At 43.8% G+C, this 19207-nt stretch overlaps 2 pseudogenes across 1 annotated transcript; both read left to right on the forward strand.

The window, feature by feature from the left end:
* The first annotated feature begins 312 nt into the window (after nucleotides 1-312).
* SAE1P1 (SAE1 pseudogene 1) lies at nucleotides 313-2358 on the forward strand (annotated as a pseudogene). The gene has a single exon (NR_027288.1). The product of NR_027288.1 is annotated as an SAE1 pseudogene 1 (transcript).
* On the forward strand, nucleotides 18580-18984 carry RPL34P23 (ribosomal protein L34 pseudogene 23; annotated as a pseudogene).

Consider the following 19207-nt stretch of genomic DNA (forward strand, 5'->3'; position numbering starts at 1 on the left):
AAGGCAATTTTGGGTCAGGCGCCGTGGTTCACGCCTGTAACCCCAGCACTGTGGGAGGCCGAGGCAGATGGATCACTTGAGTCAGGAGTTCGAGACCAGCCTGGCCAACATGGCAAAAGCCCGTCTCTACTAAAAATACAAAAATTAGTCAGGTGAGGTGGCTCGCACCTGTGGTTCCAGCTACCCGGGAGGCTGAGGCAAGAGGATCACTTGAACCCAAGAGGCAGAGGTTGCAGTGAGCCAAGATCTCACCACTGCACTCCAGCCTGGGCGACAGAGCAAGACTCCATCTCAAAAAAAAAAAAAAAAATGGGTTGATGGTGCGCGGGGCTGGCGGGCAGTTGGCATGAGCGGGACCGAAGCTGAGGCAGGAAGAGCCGGCACCATGGTGGAGAAGGAGGAGGCTGGAGGTGGCATCAGCCAGGAGGAGGCAGGCGCAGTATGACCAGCAGATCTGCCTTTGGGGACTGGAGGCCCCGAAATGGCTGCGGGCCTCCCAGGTGCTTCTTGCAGGCATGAAAGGACTCGGGGCTGAAATTGCCAAGAATCTCATCCTGGCAGGAGTGAAAGGACTGACCATGCTGGATCACAAACAGATATCTCCAGAAGAACCCGGAGCTCAGTTCTTGATTCGTATTGGGTCTGTTGGCCGAAATAGGGCTGAAGCCTCTTTGGAGCGAGCTCAGAATCTTAACCCCATGGTGGATGTGAAGTTGGACACTGAGGATATAGAGAAGAAACCAGAGTCATTTTTCACTCAATTTGATGCTGTGTGTTGACTTGCTGCTCCAGGGCTGTCATAGTTAAGGTTGACCAGATCTGTCACAAAAATAGCATCAAGTTCTTTGCAGGAGATGTTTTTAGCTACCATGGATACACATTTGCCAATCTAGGAGAACATGAGTTTGTAGAGGAGAAAACTAAAGTTGCTAAAGTTAGCCAAGGAGTAGAAGATGGGCCTGATACCAAGAGAGTAAAACTTGATTCTTCTGAGACAACGATGGTCAAGAAGAAGGTGGTCTTCTGCCCCGTTAAAGAAGCGCTGGAGGTGGACTGGAGCAGTAAGAAAGCAAAGGCTGCTCTGAAGCGCACGACCTCCGACCACTTTCTCCTTCAAGTGCTCCTAAAGTTCCGCACAGATAAAGGAAGAGATCCCAGTTCTGATACACACGGGGAAGATTCCGAGTTGTTGCTCCAGATACGAAACGATGTGCTTGACTCACTGGGTATTATTCCTGACCCGCGCTTTATCACGTACTTCTTCTCTGAGATGGCCCCAGTGTGTGCGGTGGTTGGAGGGATTTTGGCACAGGAAATTGTGAAGGCCCTGTCTCAGCAGGACCCTCCTCACAACTTCTTCTTCAATGGCATGAAGGGGAATGGGATTCTGGAGTGGCTTGGCCCCAAGTGAACCCAAGACTTGGCAGCCCTGGAGATGCCAATTGCAACATGCCTGCCTGTATTCCCTGTCCCCCTCCTTCGTGAAGGCATCTCCAGGCAAGGAAAACTGAAGTCATCGGCCCAGTACAAAACATTTCCTGCGACGAAGGAGGTGGTGCCGTCATGCTGCTTCCCATCACCCGCAGCTGCTTGACAAGGGGTGCAGGGCAGCTGTCTTTGTTCCAGCACTGTTCAGACTGCCTGCTGTCCCAGGCCTGCCAGCTCCCCTGAGTGATAAGCACTTCCAAGCACCCCTCTGCCCCTTCTCTGTCCTTATGCTGTCACGGCCTCGCCAGCCCTCTAGGGTATTATGGGAGATGCCTGCCAGGAACGAGCATGCTCTGTTGCTTAGGAGCCTCTTGCCACCTTCTTGGACTTAACTCCCCACCTGATGTCTTACAGAGAGGAGCGTGACTTCAGGTGGAGAGTAGGCCCAGGCCCCATGAGGCACCAGTGGAAGCACAGCTCCAAGTTCAGACAGGTGCCCTTAGAGAGGAAACCCATGACAGGCAAATGCATTTCCTCTGGAGTTTGAGACCCTGACGAACAACAGGTGGCATCTGGTGTGCCGTTCTTGAGTTTTCGTTTAGGATTCGTTGAGTTCCAGCTGGGTTTTGGGAGAAAGGAGATGCTACCAAGTCTTGGATGTTAGGGCGAGACCCTGCAAGTTGAGTATTAGTGGGAGAGCTTGTCTTTCAAGGCAGGTTCCTGGGGCTTCAGGGCTAGGAGGCAGGAGCTTGCCCTTTTAACACAACCCCAGTCACCCATGCGGCCCAGGCCACTCAGAGGCTGTTGCATTTCAGGGCTGTGTTGGTCCTCTGTTTACCTCCTAAACCACAGCTGTTTGTGTTTCACATATGTTCTGAATTTTCCTTGGTTCTTTTTAAAGGAATGATAATAAAGTTACTTGCTTTAGGAAAAAAAGAAAGTCAATCTTAGGTAACAAGACAAAGGCAATCTTTATTACCAGAGATATTCTAAATATAGTTTTCCTAACAGAGATATTCTAAACATAGTTTTCCTAACAGTTTGAAACCTTTTGCTTTTTTCATTTAAAAATATATCTGTTGTCTGTTATTGATAACAGTCTTGGTCAGTGTTCCACATCTGTCTATAGAGAGCTTTTCTCTATCTTTTTAATGCCTGTATCGTGTTTTGTGTTCATACCACTATTGCTTAATTTACAACACTCTTGTGAAGTAAAAATGTTTTTTCTCATTTTAAGAAAAAAATTTTTATCTCTTTTTCTTTTCTTTTCTTTCTTTCTTTTTTTTTTTTTTTCTTTTTGAGATGGAGTCTTGCTCTGTTGCCCAGGCTGGAGTGCAGTGGTGTGATTTCGGCTCATTGAAACCTCTGCCTCCCGGGTTCAATTGATTCTCCTGCCTCAGCCTCTGGAGTAGCTGGGACTACAGGCGTGTGCCACCACACCTGGCTATTTTTTTTTTTTTTTAGCAGAGATGAGGTTTCACCATGTTGGGCCAGGCTGGTCTTAAACTCCTGACCTCAGGTGATCCACCCACTTCACCCTCCCAAAGTGTTGGATTTACAAGCATGAGCCACTGCACCCGCCTTCTCTCATTTTTATGCTAAGGAAACTGAAGCATGTTCAGAGCAACTCAGGCAAGTCTAGACCCTGAGAAGCTCAGGCAGGAATTCCAGCAAGGACTTAGGGCAGGAGGGAAAGGTAGTTAGGTAAAGGATCTGCCTTAGTGAGGACAGGGCTGCAGGTGTGGTTGGAATTCTGAGACGCCAGACATCAGAGGTGCCTGAAATTTCCCTGCTTGGCTATAATGCCCTAGGGTGCCCAATCAGTCTGTAAACACTTACTGAGCGCTTATTAGTGATCTATTGCTTCATAACAATTTACTCTAAAACTTAGTGGCTCACAACAATGATAATCAATTTTTATCTCTAATGATGTATGTGAGTCAGGAATTCCAAAGCAGCTTGGTTGGGTGTTTCTGGCTCAGACCTTCTCATGAAGTGGTGGTCAACATGTCAGCAGGGCTGCAGTCATGTGAAGGCTTGACTGGGGACAGAGATCCATGTTTTCAAGGTGGCTCACTCACATAGCCAGCAAGTTGGTGCTGGCTTTCAGCGGGAGCCTCAGTTCCTCTCCCTGTGCATCCCTCCACAGAGCTGCTTGAGTGTCTGTATTTGTTTTGAAATTGTTGCATAGAAAATTACCACAAACTTAGTAGGTTAAAACAGTACCCATTTATTATCTCACAGTTCTGTAGGTCAAAAGTCCAGGCAGGCTCAACTGGTCTCTCTGCTTCCAAGGCCAAAATCAAGGTGTCAGCTGGTCTTGGTTCTCACTGGGAGGCTCTAGGGAACATTCTGCTTCCAAACCCATTGAGGTTGTTGCCAGAATTGTTCCTTGCAGTTATATAGGATTGAGGTCTCCATTTTCTGGCAGGCTGTTAGCTGAGGGCTGCTCTTAGCTTCCAGAGGCCACACTCAGGCCCAGGGGCTCCCTCTATTGTTAAATCAGCAGCAATGCATCAGGTCCTTCTTGAGCTTTGAATCTCTCTGACTTCCTCTTCTGCCCCCAGCTGAAGAAAACTCTCAGCTTTTAAACGGCTCATAGGATTAGATTGGGCCCGCTCAATCTTCCCATTGTAACATCAACTGATTAGTAAACTTAATTACATCTGCAAAATCCCTCTTGCCATGCAACATAAGATAGTGATGGGAGGCCGGGCATGGTGGCTCACACCTGTAATCCCAGCACTTTGGGAGGCCGAGGTGGGCAGATCACTTGACGTCAGGAGTTCAAGACGAGCCTGGCCAATATGGCAAAACCCCATCTCCACTAAAAATTAAAAAAAAAAAAAATAGCTGGGCATGGTGGGATACACCTGTAGTCCCAGCTATTTGGGAGGCGGAGGCAGGAGAATCAATTGAACCTGGGAGGCTGAGGTTGCAGTGAGCCGAGATTGTGCCACAGCACTCCAGCCTGGGTGACAGAGAGAGAATCTGTCTGCAAAAAAAAAAAAAAAAAAAAAAGTGAAAAAGTGATTGGAACACACTGGAGTGCAAAGATTATAGGGGCCAGCAGAGTATAAGATTTCCAATTCTTCCACATGTTCACTAACATTTGGTAGTATCTTCTTTTCTCATTTTTGCTATCCTGGCTGGCCATTTAATACCATTAATTCAGCAAACACTTATTAAGTCTCCACAATTTTGTGCTGAGTGCCTAAAATCACGTAAACATGAATCAACTAGGTACTCAATAAATATTTGTTGGCTGATTTTCCAGATGTTGGAGACATAAAATTAATTAGACATGGACTCTGCTCTCAAGGATCTTAAAAGTAAATATGTAGTGAAAGACTGATGACCAGCACATAAATAATACAGTTAAAAAAGCAATAAGGGCCAAAAGGAGGGGAATTCAGAAGAAAGAAAAAAATCTTTTAATTTAGAAAGACTCAAATCAAGGGAAACATCCTTGAGTAAGTGGCATTTGAGTGGGTTTTGTAAGAAAAAAATTAGGATTTAGTTATGCAGAGGTGATGGAGAACAGGGGTAGTGGCTAATATTTCAAACAGATAGAAGAGCATGAGTGAGGCTGTGCACGGTGGCTCACAACTGTAATCCTAGCACTTTGGGAGGCTGAGGCGTATGGATTGCTTGAGCTCAGGAGTTTGAGACCAGCCTGGACAACACTGTGAAAATCCAACACAACAACAACAAAAAAAAACAAACACAAAAATTAGCCAGGCATGGTGGCTCGTGCCTGTAGTTCCAGCTACTTGGTAGACTGAGGCAGGAGGAGCCCTTGAGCCTGGAAGATCAAGGCTGCAATGAGCCAAGATTGCACCACTGCACTCCAGCCTGGGTGCAGAGTGAGACAGAAGGAAGAAGAAAGAAAAGAAAAGAAACCTCAGTGATAAAGATTCTCCAGTCTACAAACTGCACACTAGGAGCTTTCTGAACACTTTCAATGCCCAGAGGTATTTTGTTTGGTCTTTTCAATCTTTTTTTAAAAATTTAAATTTGAATGCATTTCATAGAGCATGCATTTTGTAATTCTAGTTTAGTCGATACAAGATCCTGTTGTCCTAAACCCCTCTTCAGCCTCTTCATAGATTTATGGTATCCACCTGGCATCTGAGGGATTTGTGTTTGAGAGCATGGAGTTCAATCCGTTTGTTTTACACATAAGAAAACTGAAGCTCCAAAAAAGCTAAATGACTCAAGGAAGTACTGAGAGTCAGTGGTGGAGTTTCTACCTGGATTCCAGCCTCTTGATGTCCTGTCTGAGCTTCTTTTGCAGAGGCTGATAGACCAAGGAGCTCAGTCACTCTTAGATAAACCCGCTTTGGCTATCAACAAATATGTATGTTTGTTTTTCCTTGAGAGAAGTTTTATAAAGGAAGATGGAAGGAGTTCAAGATTCCTAGGCAAAGAAGAGGACAGAGGCTGAAATGTGCTTCCTTTTTTTCATTTTGCTTGGACCTAAATGGCAGGAAATTTCTTAACTAAAATTAAAAAGCAACTAGAATATCTCTTCCCATCTCATGAATACGTTGCTTTCTAAAGTCAACCGAATCCAAGCAGCTGACTTTCAAAATGGGGCCGAAGGAGACTCTAAAGTGCCACCTGGTGGCCATCTTCAGCACAAGCGAAAAGGAAAAGGGATTGCAGTGAGATCTTTGATCCAGGTAGGGCTGATAGCGTAGAAAACTCCCCAGCGACAAAAGTGGTATTAAAAGTAACAAAAAAGGCCGGGCGCGGTGGCTCACGCCTGTAATCCTAACACTTTGGGAGGCCGAGGTGGGCGGATTGCCTGAGCTCAGGAGTTCGGGAACAGCCTGGACAACACGGTGAAACCCCGTCTCTAACAAAATACAAAAAATTAGCTGGGCGTGGCGGCGTGCGCCTGTAGTCCCAGCTACTCGGGAGGCTGAGGCAGGAGAATTGCTTGAACCTGGGAGGCGGAGGTTGCAGTGAGCCGAGATCGCGCCACTGCCCTCCAGCCTGGGCGACAGAGCGAGACACCGTCTCAAAAAAAAAGGAACAAAAAGGCTTTATTTGACCTGCGGCCAAACCAATGGAAACTTCAGTGGAGGTGGGTTAGAGTGAAGTTCAGGACTTTTAAAGCACTTGTGAGAATGTCTTCCCACAGGACTAAGGAAACAGGTGATACAGAAACAGATAAGGACATCCGGTGAAAGGAGTAAGGTAGGAAGAGATGAGGGTTCTAACCCTCCTACAGGCTTGGGAGTACTTAGCCTGGAGATATTTCTCCAAGCCTTCAAGTTGTCTGCAAGACAGTTCCATATATATGGTGTTTTTCAATATATTTTTACAAATACTATTTATGTTTTAAAATATTCATTGAACATGGAGAAACACCATCTCTACTGAAAATACAAAATTAGCTAGGCGTGGTGGTACATGCTTGTAATCCCAGCTACTCGGGAGGCTGAGGCAGGAGAATCGCTTGAACCCATGAGGCGGAGGTTGCGGTGAGCCGAAATCGCGCCATTGCACTCCAGCCTGGGCAACAAGAGCGAAACTCCGTCTCAAAAGAAAAAAAAATGCATTCAATTTATTACAGGTTTATAACATAACCACAATAAAAGAGGTGAGAAAAAAGAATTAAGTAACTTTGGACTGTTATTTAACTATGTACTCTAAACGCAAAGAGCACACAAATTTTACTGTATTTAATAAATTTGTTTTTCACAAGGCTGTAGGTTGGAAATTCTAAAACTGTTTTATGTGTAATCTAGTGTTGAACAAATAAGTAAATACATTGTGAATAATAACCACCGAATTTTTTACTGTCAGAGAAAGGAATTAAAAACAAGAAAGGGAAATAATAGAATGAACCCTGAGAGCTGGAATGGAACTGGAGGTATCAATATAAAATAATAGGTTTTTTTTGTTTTTTGTTTTTTGTTTTTTCTTTTTTCAGACAGAGTCTCTCTTTTGCCCAGGCTAGAGTGTAGTGGTGAGATCTCAGCTCACCACAACCTCCATCTCCCGAGTTCAAGCAATTCTCCTGCCTCAGCCTCCCAAGTAGCTGGGACTACAGGAGTGCGCCAACACGCCCGGCTAATTTTTGTATTTTTAGTAGAGACAGGGTTTCACTATGCTGGCCAGGCTGATCTCAAACTGCTGTCATCGTGATCCGCCCACCGCGGACTCCCAAAGTGCTGGGATTAAAGGCGTGAGCCACTGCACCCGGCAAAGTCATAGTTTTTAATAGAGAGACAGGGAAATAAGTAAAGACATGTTTAAGTGTACACATACGTATATTTCCTAGCCCTGATCACTGAGGGAGGAAACAATGACACCCCAGTAGCAGTAAGCATCTAGTGCCCAGATCTTTTTTTTTTTTTTTTTTTTGAGCCTGAGTCTTGCTCTGTCGCCCAGGCTGGAGTGCAGTGGCGTGATCTCGGCTCACTGCAAGCTCCGCCTCCCGGGTTCACGACATTCTCCTGCCTCAGCCTCTCCAGTAGCTGGGACTACAGGCACCCACCACCACGCCCGGCTAATGTGTGTGTGTGTGTGTGTGTGTGTGTGTGTGTGTGTGTGTGTGTGTGTTTAGTAGAGACGGGATTTCACTGCAGATCTTTCTTTCTAAATATTATTCTCCAGTAAAAAGGAACCCGGTCTACTTAAACAGATAGCTGATTATACGGCTGGGGCAGGGAAGAACAGAATGAACTTAGGACATCTTGTGGAGCTAGTAACTAAGGAAGTGCTCAAAAAATGATGGACACATGTTGAAATGACACAAGCCAACTTGGTAAGACTCCTAGATCTGGGACAATCTGAACAACAAAAATGTTTAAAAGATAATAATGTTCACTCACAGATTAAAAGCAATATTCATGAGCCCATACTTATTTAAATAAAAAATTGAATAAACAAATAAATGAGGAAGAAAGGAAAGTTCTTTCTTACTGTAATACTCCAATTAATAAATGCAGAAGGAGTGATGCAAATAGCAAGTCACCAATGGCAAAGATCACAGTAAAAATTGTTTTTCAAGAACGTATCAGTGGATGCTAAAATTCATGGATGAAATTATTACCAGAAACATGATATTTATTTAGTCTCTAAGTATTTTTCCATGAGATGCCTATTAATTACAGTGAGAAATGTCATAACTTCACAATGTAGAAATGTGGCATATATAGCCTTAACCAAGATTAAAGCTTATTGTGTGCTTCCTGATATGATGCACTGAGAAGGACATGGCATCCCTTATGTGGTATCCTTACCAAAAATGCATAACCTGAATTTAATGTCTGCAAGGAATGCAGACATACCCAAATGGAGGGATGTTCCACAAAATAACTGACAGCTGCTCTTCAAAGGTGTCAAGGTTGGAAAAGATAAAGAAAAACTGAGACATCGTCCCAGCTTAAAACAGGCTAATAAATAAAGGCAATGTGTAATCCTGGTTTGGATCATGGATCATAAAAAGGACAGTATTGAGTCCAGATGCAGTGGCTCACGCCTGTAATCCCAGCACTTTGGGAGGCCGAGGTGGGCGGATCACAAGATTCAGCAGTTCAAGACCAGTGTGGCAACACGGTGAAACCCCATCTCTACTAAAAATACAAAAATTAGCCAGGCATGGTGGCGGGCCCCTGTAATTCCAGCTACTCCGGAGGCTGAGGCAGGAGAATTGCTTGAACCCAGGAGGCGGAGGTTGCAGTGAGCCGAGACCGTGCCATTGCACTCCAGCCTGGGCGACAGAGCAAGACTCTGTCTCAAAAAACAAAAGGACAGTATTGAAACAGATAATGAGAATTAAATGAGATAGCAATGAATTAAGTAGTAATGTTAACTTCCCAATTTTATCTTTGTACTGTTATTATATCATATGTTAACATTTGGAGAAGTTAGGTAAAGAGGATATAGAAATTCTTTGTACTATTTTTGTAAATCTTACATAATTTACAATAAAAAGTTGTAAAAAACTAAGCAAGAATTATGAACCATCCACTGTGTATAAGGCACTTTAACCAGAATATAATTTCTCAAGAAATATGTATCCTGTACGTTAGAGAACTTTTAACATAATATCAATTAATCAGAACATTGTCCTTCTATGAGCTAGAAATCCAATAACTTTCTTCTTGTACATCTCACATATCTCTATCTTAATTAATTAATTAGTTTGTTCATTCTTCTTTTTAATTAAAAAACTATGGGCTAGGCCTCATGCTGGGAACACAATAATGAAAAAGCCAGACATAATTCCTACCTCCCATAAACTAAAAGTCACATGGAGATATAATTAAAGAGTCAATTACAGTGTATAATAAGTGCCAAGATGTGTTAAGCAATTTCAGGCCACAGAACATGGCAGTTAGCACAAATTCTAGAGCCATATTGTCTGGGTTCAAATCCGTGCTCCATCACCAGCTGTGTGACTTTGGGAAAGTTACTTAACCTCTCTATGCCTCAATTTTCTCATCTGTACAATAAGAATAATAATAGTATCTACATCATATGGTTGTTGTGAAAATTAAAGGAGTTAATTTTATAACGTTGCACTTAGAATGGTGCCTGGTGAATCGCTTGAGCTCAGGAGTTTGAGACCAGCGTGGACAACATGGTAAAACCATGTCTCTACAGTAAAATAAAAAAAAAAAAATTAGCTGAGCATGGTGGCATGCACTATAGTCCCAGCTACCTGGGAGGCTAAGGCTGGGGGACCAATTGAGCCTGAGAAGTCAAGGCTGCAGTGAGCCACGATAACATCACTGCACTCCAGCCTGGGTGGCAGAGCGAGACCCTGTCTCAAACAAAAAAAGGTGCCTGGCACGCAGTAAGTCTAGGAAATGAATGGGCACACACCTGTTGCGGGGGCAGGGCTCTACTGTGTGAAGACGGGGAGTATTTAAGAAAAAAGCTTCCAGAACAAGTGGCATGTGAGCTGAGACCCAAAAGGCAGAACAATCAGGCTTTGCAAAAGCCTGGAATTGAGACAGGGCAAAGAGATTTGCAAAACTGAAAGAGTTCGTGGCCCAAGTGATGAGTGGTGAGAAATGAAGTCAGAGATTAGTAGGGACCAGATCATACAGGGCCTTTTCAGTGGAGTGAAAGAGCCTGGACTTCACCTTTAAGGCTGTGGAAGCCGTGGTGAGATGGAGGCAGGAGGAGCATCTCAATGGCCCTTCAGAAAGATTTCTAAGGCAGCAAAGTGGAGATTTATAGAGGAGATTCACAGCAGGCCACACTGGAGCCAGAAGAGGCGGGAGGCTTTTGTGGTGATCCAAAGAGGAGATGGTAACGTGCTGGACAAAGAGAAGTGGACAGATTGGAAAGATCCTTAGAAGGTTGAATCCTTTTGCTTTCCACTAAGATATGAGCACTATGAGAAGAGAATTTTTCAACAGCTTTATTGAGATGTTAGGCACGTACCATACAATTCACCCCTTTAAAATGTACAGTTGAATAGCGTTTAGTATATCCACAGCTGAGCATCCATTGCCAAAATAGATTTTAGAACATTTCTGTCAACCAGGCAAAATCCCATATCCATTAGTAGTCACTCCATATTTCTCCCCAAACTCCCTCCCCCAAGCCCTAGGCAACCACCTGTCTGCTTTCTATTTCTATAGATTTGCCTATAGACATTTCATAGAAATAGAATCATACAATATGGTCTTTTGTGACTGGCTTCTTTCACTTGGCATAATGTTTTCAAGGTTCTTCTATGTTGCAACATGTATCAGTACTTCATTACTTTATGGCTGACTAATATACCGTTATATGGATATGCCACATTTTATTTATCCATTCAATAGTTGGACATTTGGAGCGTTGATACTTTTTGGCTATTATGAAGAACACTGCTATGAACATTCATGTATGCATTTTTGTGTGGATGTGTGTTTTCATTTCTCTTGGTACATACCTGGGAGTGGAATTTCTAGGTCATATGGTAACGCTATGTTTAACTTTTTGAGGAATCGCAAAGCGACTGCACTATTTTACATTCCTACCAACAGTGTATGAGGAGTTCAAATGTTTAATATCTTTGCTAACACTTATTATTAGTAGTCTTTTTTACTGTAGCCATCTTGATTGGTGTGTAATGGTACTTCATTGTTGTTTTGGGTTGCAATTCCCTTATGGCCAATGATATTAAACATCTTTTCATATGCTTGTTTTGAAGCCTGCCACCTGGGTTCAAGCGATTCCCCTGCCTCAGCCTCCTGAGTAGCTGGGACTACAGGCACCCACCACCACACCTGGCTTATTTTTGTATTTTTAGTAGAGACGGGGGTTTCACCATGTTGGCCAGGCTGGTCTCAAACTCCTGACCTCAGGTGATCCACCCGCCTCAGCCTCCCAAAGTGCTGGGATTACAGGTGTGAGCCACCACGCCCATCCTCTGATGACTATTATGAATGCCTGAAGGAGAGCAACTGGTAATTACTGTGCCTCTGCTGTGTGTCAAGAGCTTTCATAAATGACCTATCATTTATTCTCTTCAATCACCTTGTTTCTACAGCACGTCCCTGATGAGCCAGTTTGATCACAGACAAAATGGAAATTATACTTCATGCTAAATGAATGACAAACCTCTTTCAAAGACTTACAAAACATTGTTTTTGTAATGTATTCTGGAGTTTTGCCATGATCAATTTCAAGAATACTGGTCTATACTTTCTAGAATTTACTTCTTCCCTCCCATGTGTACTTGTCTTTTGTTTTCTGGCACTAATTTTTTTTTTTTTTTTTGAGACGGAGTCTCCCTCTGTTGCCCGGGCTGGAGTGCAATGGCGAGATCTCAGCTCACTGCAACTTCCACCTCCCAGGTTCAAGTGATTCTCCTGCCTCAGCCTCTCAAGTAGCTGGAATTACAAGCACCTGCCATCATGCCCAGCTAATTTTCATATTTTTAGTAGAGATAGGGTTTTGCCATGTTGGCCAGGCTGGTCTTGAACTCCTGACCTCAGGTTATCCACCTGCCTCAGCCTCCCAAAGTGCTGGGATTACCGGCGTGAGCCACCACACCCAGCCATCTGGCACTAATTTTGCCCACAATTTTTTTAGCTAGAACTAACGCCATTTCCATAATCAAGTGAATTTGAGTTTACAGTTTCAGAAATACACACGACCTAGAATAAATGTCTCTGTGTCTTTCTTTCTGTGTTTCCACCTGCCTGTTACTTCCTGTAATATCAGCTGAAAGGACACAAATGTCACTTCATAGACAACTCTTACAGAGGCTCCTCAACTTCTTCCTAACATTAAGCACAGCTCGACACAAAACCAAGGGAAACTGGGCAAATTTTATTACTGGACAAATTTTATTCACTGCCCATTTTTCCATTTCCTGAGGCCCACTGGTATTTAAATGGGGTCAACTCTGATTACCTTTAGGCATATGGATGCAGGGCTAATTTTCTGAACTTATTTTCAGCATAATAGGGCATTCTCATTTCAAACAAAAAAACCCCATCATGCTTTCTTCACCTGCTCAAAGATGCAGCCCCACCATCCCCATCTCCCTAAAAGCTTTCTGCAGCCCACTAAAAATATCCAATGTTGACAGATGTAAGCTATCAATACAGAGACTCAAGATCCCAGGGTGAGAAGTGGCCAGAGGCGAAGTCTTGATAAACAGCTCAAATTGGCTCTTACTCCACAGGTGACGCCTAGTTTATCTGGGTAATTGTAAAAGGCATTTTTACAGCAAATCAATTAAATGAAAATCTTTTAAACCCTTTTTAAATGGGGGGAGGAAGGGGAGGGTGAAGAGGGCCAACCTTTGTAAGCTAACAGGTGATTTTAATTGGAACCAGCAGCGTTATACCATGTTTTTGACCCATTCGGTAAAGGCAGAAAAAGAAATCAATAAATTTCCATCAGCATTTGCCCTCCTGGAGTCGTATAAGTAGAATGGAGACACGAACCCCAGTTAATGGCTTCATCAAGCACCTCACTGATTCTCTAACAGAATTAAATAGGTTGCAGGTCTCTCCCCATTGTCCTCTGCATTGAGATTCAAAAATGCCCTAGTCTGCTGGGTGCTCCTAGGTGACACATGAGTTACCATCCGCCTCATTACAAGTACAGCTAACCACCCTCAGGCCCAATCATGACAGACCTCCTGAAGCAGTCCTGTCTCAGAGATGGGAATCCACACACTGACCCTTTATTAAAAGCAAAACACAGGAGCTCCAAGTTTTACTCCTGGAAATAGATCTATGGAGAATCCACAGGGCCTAACAGTTGGGCAGCTTGACTTCAGTCACATATTAGTTGTGTAACCTTGGGTAAATTGCTTAAACTTTCTAATCTGCCATTCCCTCATCTTTATACAGGGGAATAATGATGCTAACCCTCATTGGCTAGTTTTGAGATTAAATGTTGTGTGTCAATATACTTAAAGGTACATCCAAAGATTTGAATAGGCAGTTTACAGCAGAAAAAAATTAAAATGGCATCCAACACATGAGAAGATATACTGTTTCACTCATAATAAGAGCAATGCAAAATAAAACCATACTGAGATGCTACTTTTCATCTGTCACTGGCAAAAATCCCATGATTTGAGAGTATATTCTATTGATGAAGTGACGGGGAAACGGGCACTCATTCATTGTTGAAGACTCAAAACAGGATCACCTTATTAGAGTGGAATTTGTAAATATCTGAAAAAATTATATATGCATTTACCCATTGAGCCAGAAATCTAGGAATCTATCCCAAGATACAGGAGCAAAAATTCAAAATGACTTATACGCTCGGTAAATCTCTGTGCCATTATTTATAATTGCAAATGTATGGAAATAATTCAAATGTCTATCAACAACTAGTTGAATAAAATATGGTTACATGGATGCAATGGAATACTCTGAAGCTGTAAAAGGTAATGAGATAGAGCTGTGTATGCTGATGGAGAGTGGTATCTGGGATATATTAAGTGAAAAAAAGATGTGGAATATATATAGAGAGAGACAGAATCATACCTTTTGTGTAAAAAAGAGAAAACAAGTGTAAATATACATATGTGTTTGCTTATATTTGCAAAAAGAAACGTTGGAAAAATTTTTAAAAACTAATAAAAGTTGAGGAGGATCAGCAGGAACATAAAAGCAAGATTTCTTTTTTTTTTTTTTTTTTGAGACAGAGTCTCACTCTGTCACCCAGGCTGGAGTACCACGCAATCTTGGCTCACTGCAACCTCCGCCTCCCAGGCTCACGTGATTCTCCTGCCTCAACCTCCCGAGTAGCTGAGATTACAGGCATGTGCCACCACATCCAGCTAAATTTTGTATTTTAGTAGAGACAGGGTTTCACCATGTTGGCCAGGCTGGTATCGAACTCCTGACCTCAAGTGATCTGCCCACTTTGGCCTCCCAAAGTGCTGGGATTATAGGTGTGAGCCACCGTGACTGGCCACAAGATTTCTTTAAACATACTTTATATAAATTTGATTTTGGAAACATAGAAATGTTTTCTATGTTCGAAAATTGTATTACATTTAAAAAGTAATCCCTAAACATTAAAAATGAAAAAAAAATTTACTATGAATTAGTTGGATATGTAAACCCCCAGGGAAAATAGTTATTTCAAGTGACTTTAGATCACAGTAATAGAGGAATATATTCTTTTTGCTTTTTTTTTTTTTTTGAGACAGAGTCTCGCTCTGTCGCCCAGGCTGGAGTGCAGTGGCGCCATCTCGGCTCACTGCAAGCTCCGCCTCCCGGGTTCACGCCATTCTCCTGTCTCAGCCTCCCGTGTAGCTGGGACTACAGGCGCCCGCCACCGCACCCGGCTAATTTTTGTATTTTTAGTAGAGACAGGGTTTCACCGTGTTAGCCAGGATGGTCTCGATCTCCTGACCTTGTGATCCGCCCGCCTCGGCCTCCCAAAGCGCTGGGCTCGGCCTCCCAAAGCGCTGGGATTACAGGCGTGAGCCACCGCGCACAGCAATAGAGGAATATATTCTAAACACAAATGAGGCGAGGTGTGGTGACTTGTACCTGTAATCCCAGCCCTTTCTCATAATGAGGCAAGAGGATCACTTGCCTGAGGCCAGGAGTTCAAGACTAGCCTGGGCAACAGCCAAGACCACAGTCTCTACAAAATAATAATAATAATAATAATAATAATAATAGTAATAAATTAGCCAGTCAGGGTGGCTGAGGTGGGAGAATCATTTGAGCCCAACAGTTTGAGGCTGCAGTAAGCTGTGATTGCACGACTGCACTCCAGCATGGCCAACAGAATGAGACCCTGACTCTTAAAAAAAAAATTTTAGGCCAGGTGCTATGGCTCACGGCTGTAATCTCAGCATTTTGGGAGGCCGAGGCAGGCAGATCACCTGAGGTTAGGAGTTGGAGACCAGCCTGACCAACATGGAGAAACTCCGTCTCTACTAAAAATACAAAATTAGCCGGGCATGGTTATACATACCTGTAATCCCAGCTACTCAGGAGGCTGAGGCAGGGGAATCGCTTGAACCCAGGAGGTGGAGGTTGTGGTGAGCTGAGATTGCACCACTGCACTCCAGCCTGGGCAAAAAGAGCGAAACTCTGTCTCAAAAAAAAAAAAAAAAAATTTAGACTTTATTTGGTAGCTTAATTGTAGTCATAATATTTGTTTTATTACTTTAAAACTATTTTATGGCCAGGCGAGCTGGCTTCTGCCTGTAATCCCAGCACTTTGGGAGGCCGAGGTGGGTGGATCACGAGCTCAGGAGATCGAGACCATCCTGGTCAACATGGTGAAGCCCCAACTCTACTAAAATACAAAAAATTAGCCAGGAGTGGTGGTGCAAGCCTGTAATCCCAGCTACTTGGGAACCTGAGGCAGGGGAATCACTTGAACCCAGGAGACGGAGGTTGCAGTGAGCCAAGATCGCACCACTGCACTCCAGTCTGGTGACAGAGCAAGACTCTGTCTCAAAAAAAGAAAAACAAAACTATTTTACATATTGTAGACTAATGCAGTAAGTAGTAACAATGTCAGGAACCAAGATTTTCAATGTAAGAAAAAAGACATAAAGGATAAATTTTAAAATGTTAAGTAAAGATCTTGGCAAATAAAAAGAGATGATGTGGTAAAACTTAACTTTTTGTTTTTGTTTTTGTTTTTTGGAAAGAGACTCTCCACATGGGGAGGGTGCCGGACCAAGGGGTCCAGAACACCCTGAGTTTCTTCCTTTGGCTTGGGGCTCTCTTAGATGGTCTTAGCTACAAGCAACAGAAATAGGTACTCGTTGACTTGAGGGGAAAAAAATGACTCGTTAGGAAAAACAACCTGTTAGGAGCGTAGCCAGAGAATCAAAGGAAGTGCCAAACCATCACCCGCCGCGGGAGGGCCCTGCGAGCTGTTTTAATCAGCTATTCCAGCATCACAAAACACAGCTGATTAATACAGCAGCAGTGTCCTGTTTCTCAGAATTGTGTGGAGGGACTGGCTAGAAGTTCTTCCGTTGGTTTCTTCTAAACTCACTCAGGTGACAACATCCAGCTGGTGGAGAGACTGGGGCAGGACTCAGCTGGGAAAGCTGTGAAGATGGGGCCATTCTCTCCACGTGGTCTTTCATCCTCCAGGAGGTTAAACTGGGCTTTTCCCCATCACACCGTGGACAATGGTCCAAGAGAGTAGGAGTGGAACTGCAAGGCCCATCCTGGCAGCCGTACAGCGTCGCTCTCACCACGCTTTGCTGGCCAAAGAACACCATCAGGACATCCCAGATTCAAGTGTTCGTACTTCACCTTTTAATAGGAAAGGCCACAAATAATTTTTATCTGCTTTTAATCAGCCACAGTCCATCTATAAACAATGATTGTCACTGGTAACAATGATTGGCAGCTCCTTCCATCAAAAAGTAGACCCCTTGAATCTGGACCAGCCTTATGAAATGTTTTCAATGATAGAATATGCTGGAGAAGACATGGGCCACAGCATCCCAGAAAGGCCATATCTTCTCCTTCCTGGAACACTGCCTTTGCCGTGTGAAAAAGTCTGGTCTAGACTCCAGTAGGATGCAAGACCACGTGGAAAGAAAGCTACGCCAGGCTCCCGGCTAAGCTCAGCTTACAGTCAACACCGCATGAATGTATCTACATGAGTTTGCCCACAACAGGCCAGAGGAAGAACTGCCCAACCAACTCACAGAATCACAAGCAATAAGTTGTGGTTTCAAGCCACCACATTTTGGGGTAGTTTGTCACACAGCAGTAGATAACCACCTCCGGGGCTTTCAGCATCAGGAATTGTGCAAAGTCTCTCTGAATTTGTCATTAACATAACTGCTCCTAAGTCTGGTGCCCTGGCCTCTTGGCTGCAAGATTGCCAACTTTAGGTTAAGAGTCTACTTCTGAACCAACCAGCTATGGCAGAAAAGTGAGGGGCTGAGTCACTTAGCACAGACAGAGGTCCTGAGGGTCACCCAAGCTGATACCTCCTGTTACCTCCACACTGCATCCCAAGGAGTCTGCTATTTCTGATCTCAATCTTCAAAACCCTAGCCCATTTCTCCACATCCTTGTCAACGTGTATATTATCTTTCATCTTTTTGATACTGCCATTCTGACATGTTTGAGGTAAGAACTCATTGTGGTTTTAATTTTTATTCTCCTAATGATTAGTGATGTTGAATATTTTCTCATCTATTAGTTGGTGTTTGTATTTGTTTGTTTGAAATGGAGTCTCGCTCTGTCACCCAGGCTGGAGTGCAGTGGCGCCATCCCGGCTCACTGCAACCTCTGCCTCCTGGGTTCAAGTGATTCTCCTGCCTCAGCCTCCCAAGTAGCTGGGATTACAGGTGTGCGCCACCATGTCCAGCTAATTTTTTGGATTTTTAGTAGAGACGGGGTTTCACTATGTTGGCCAGGCTGGTCTCAAACTGCTGACCTCAGGTGATCCACCTGCCTCGCCCTACCAAAGTGCTGGGATTACAGGCGTGAGCCACTGCACCTGTCCTGTTTTCTTTTGAGAAATGTCTATTCAAGCTCCTTTGCCCATTTTTTAATGGGAACCCCTCTCCACTCTTGGTGGGAATGTAAACTAGTACAGCCATTATGGAAAATTGTATGAAGTTTCCTCAAAAAAAACCTAAAAATAAAATTGCCATATGATCCAGAAATCCCACATCTGGGTATATACCCTAAGGACTTGAAATCAGTATGTTTGCTCTTCCGGGGACGTGGTCTAGAGGCACTCGGAATGGTCCAGCATTTGACATACTGCCGTAGGCTTTCCTACAATTCAGTCTCTAACAAAACTAGGCTGTCCCGAATACCTGGTAATAGAATTGTTTACCTTTATACCAGGAAGGTTGGGAAAGCACCAAAATCCGCATGTGGGCATGTGTCCAGGAAGACTTCATTTTGAAGTTTGTGCTGTGAGACCTAAAGTTCCTATGAGATTGCCCCCAAACAAAAAACATGTCAGCAGGGCCTCCGGTGGTTGTGTGTGTTCTAGGTGTGTTCATGACAGGATCAAGAGTGATTTCCTTATCGAGCGGCAGAAAACCATTGCGAAAGTGTTGAAGGCACAAGCACAGTCAGAAAGCTAAATAAAAAAATGAAGCTTACAGCCGGGTGTGGTGGCTCATGCCTGCAATCTCAGCACTTTGGGAGGCCAAGCCGGGTGGATCACCTGAGGTCAGGAGATCGAGACCAGCCTGGCCAACATGATGAAACCCCGTCTCTACCAAAAATACAAAAATTAGCCTGGCATGGTGGTGCGCACCTGTAATCCCAGCTACTTGGAAGGCTGAGGCAGGAGAATCACTTGAACCCAGGAGGTAGAGTTT

The sequence above is a fragment of the Homo sapiens genome, chromosome 11, assembly GCF_000001405.40.
Source record: "Homo sapiens chromosome 11, GRCh38.p14 Primary Assembly".
Classification (NCBI taxonomy): domain Eukaryota; kingdom Metazoa; phylum Chordata; class Mammalia; order Primates; family Hominidae; genus Homo; species Homo sapiens.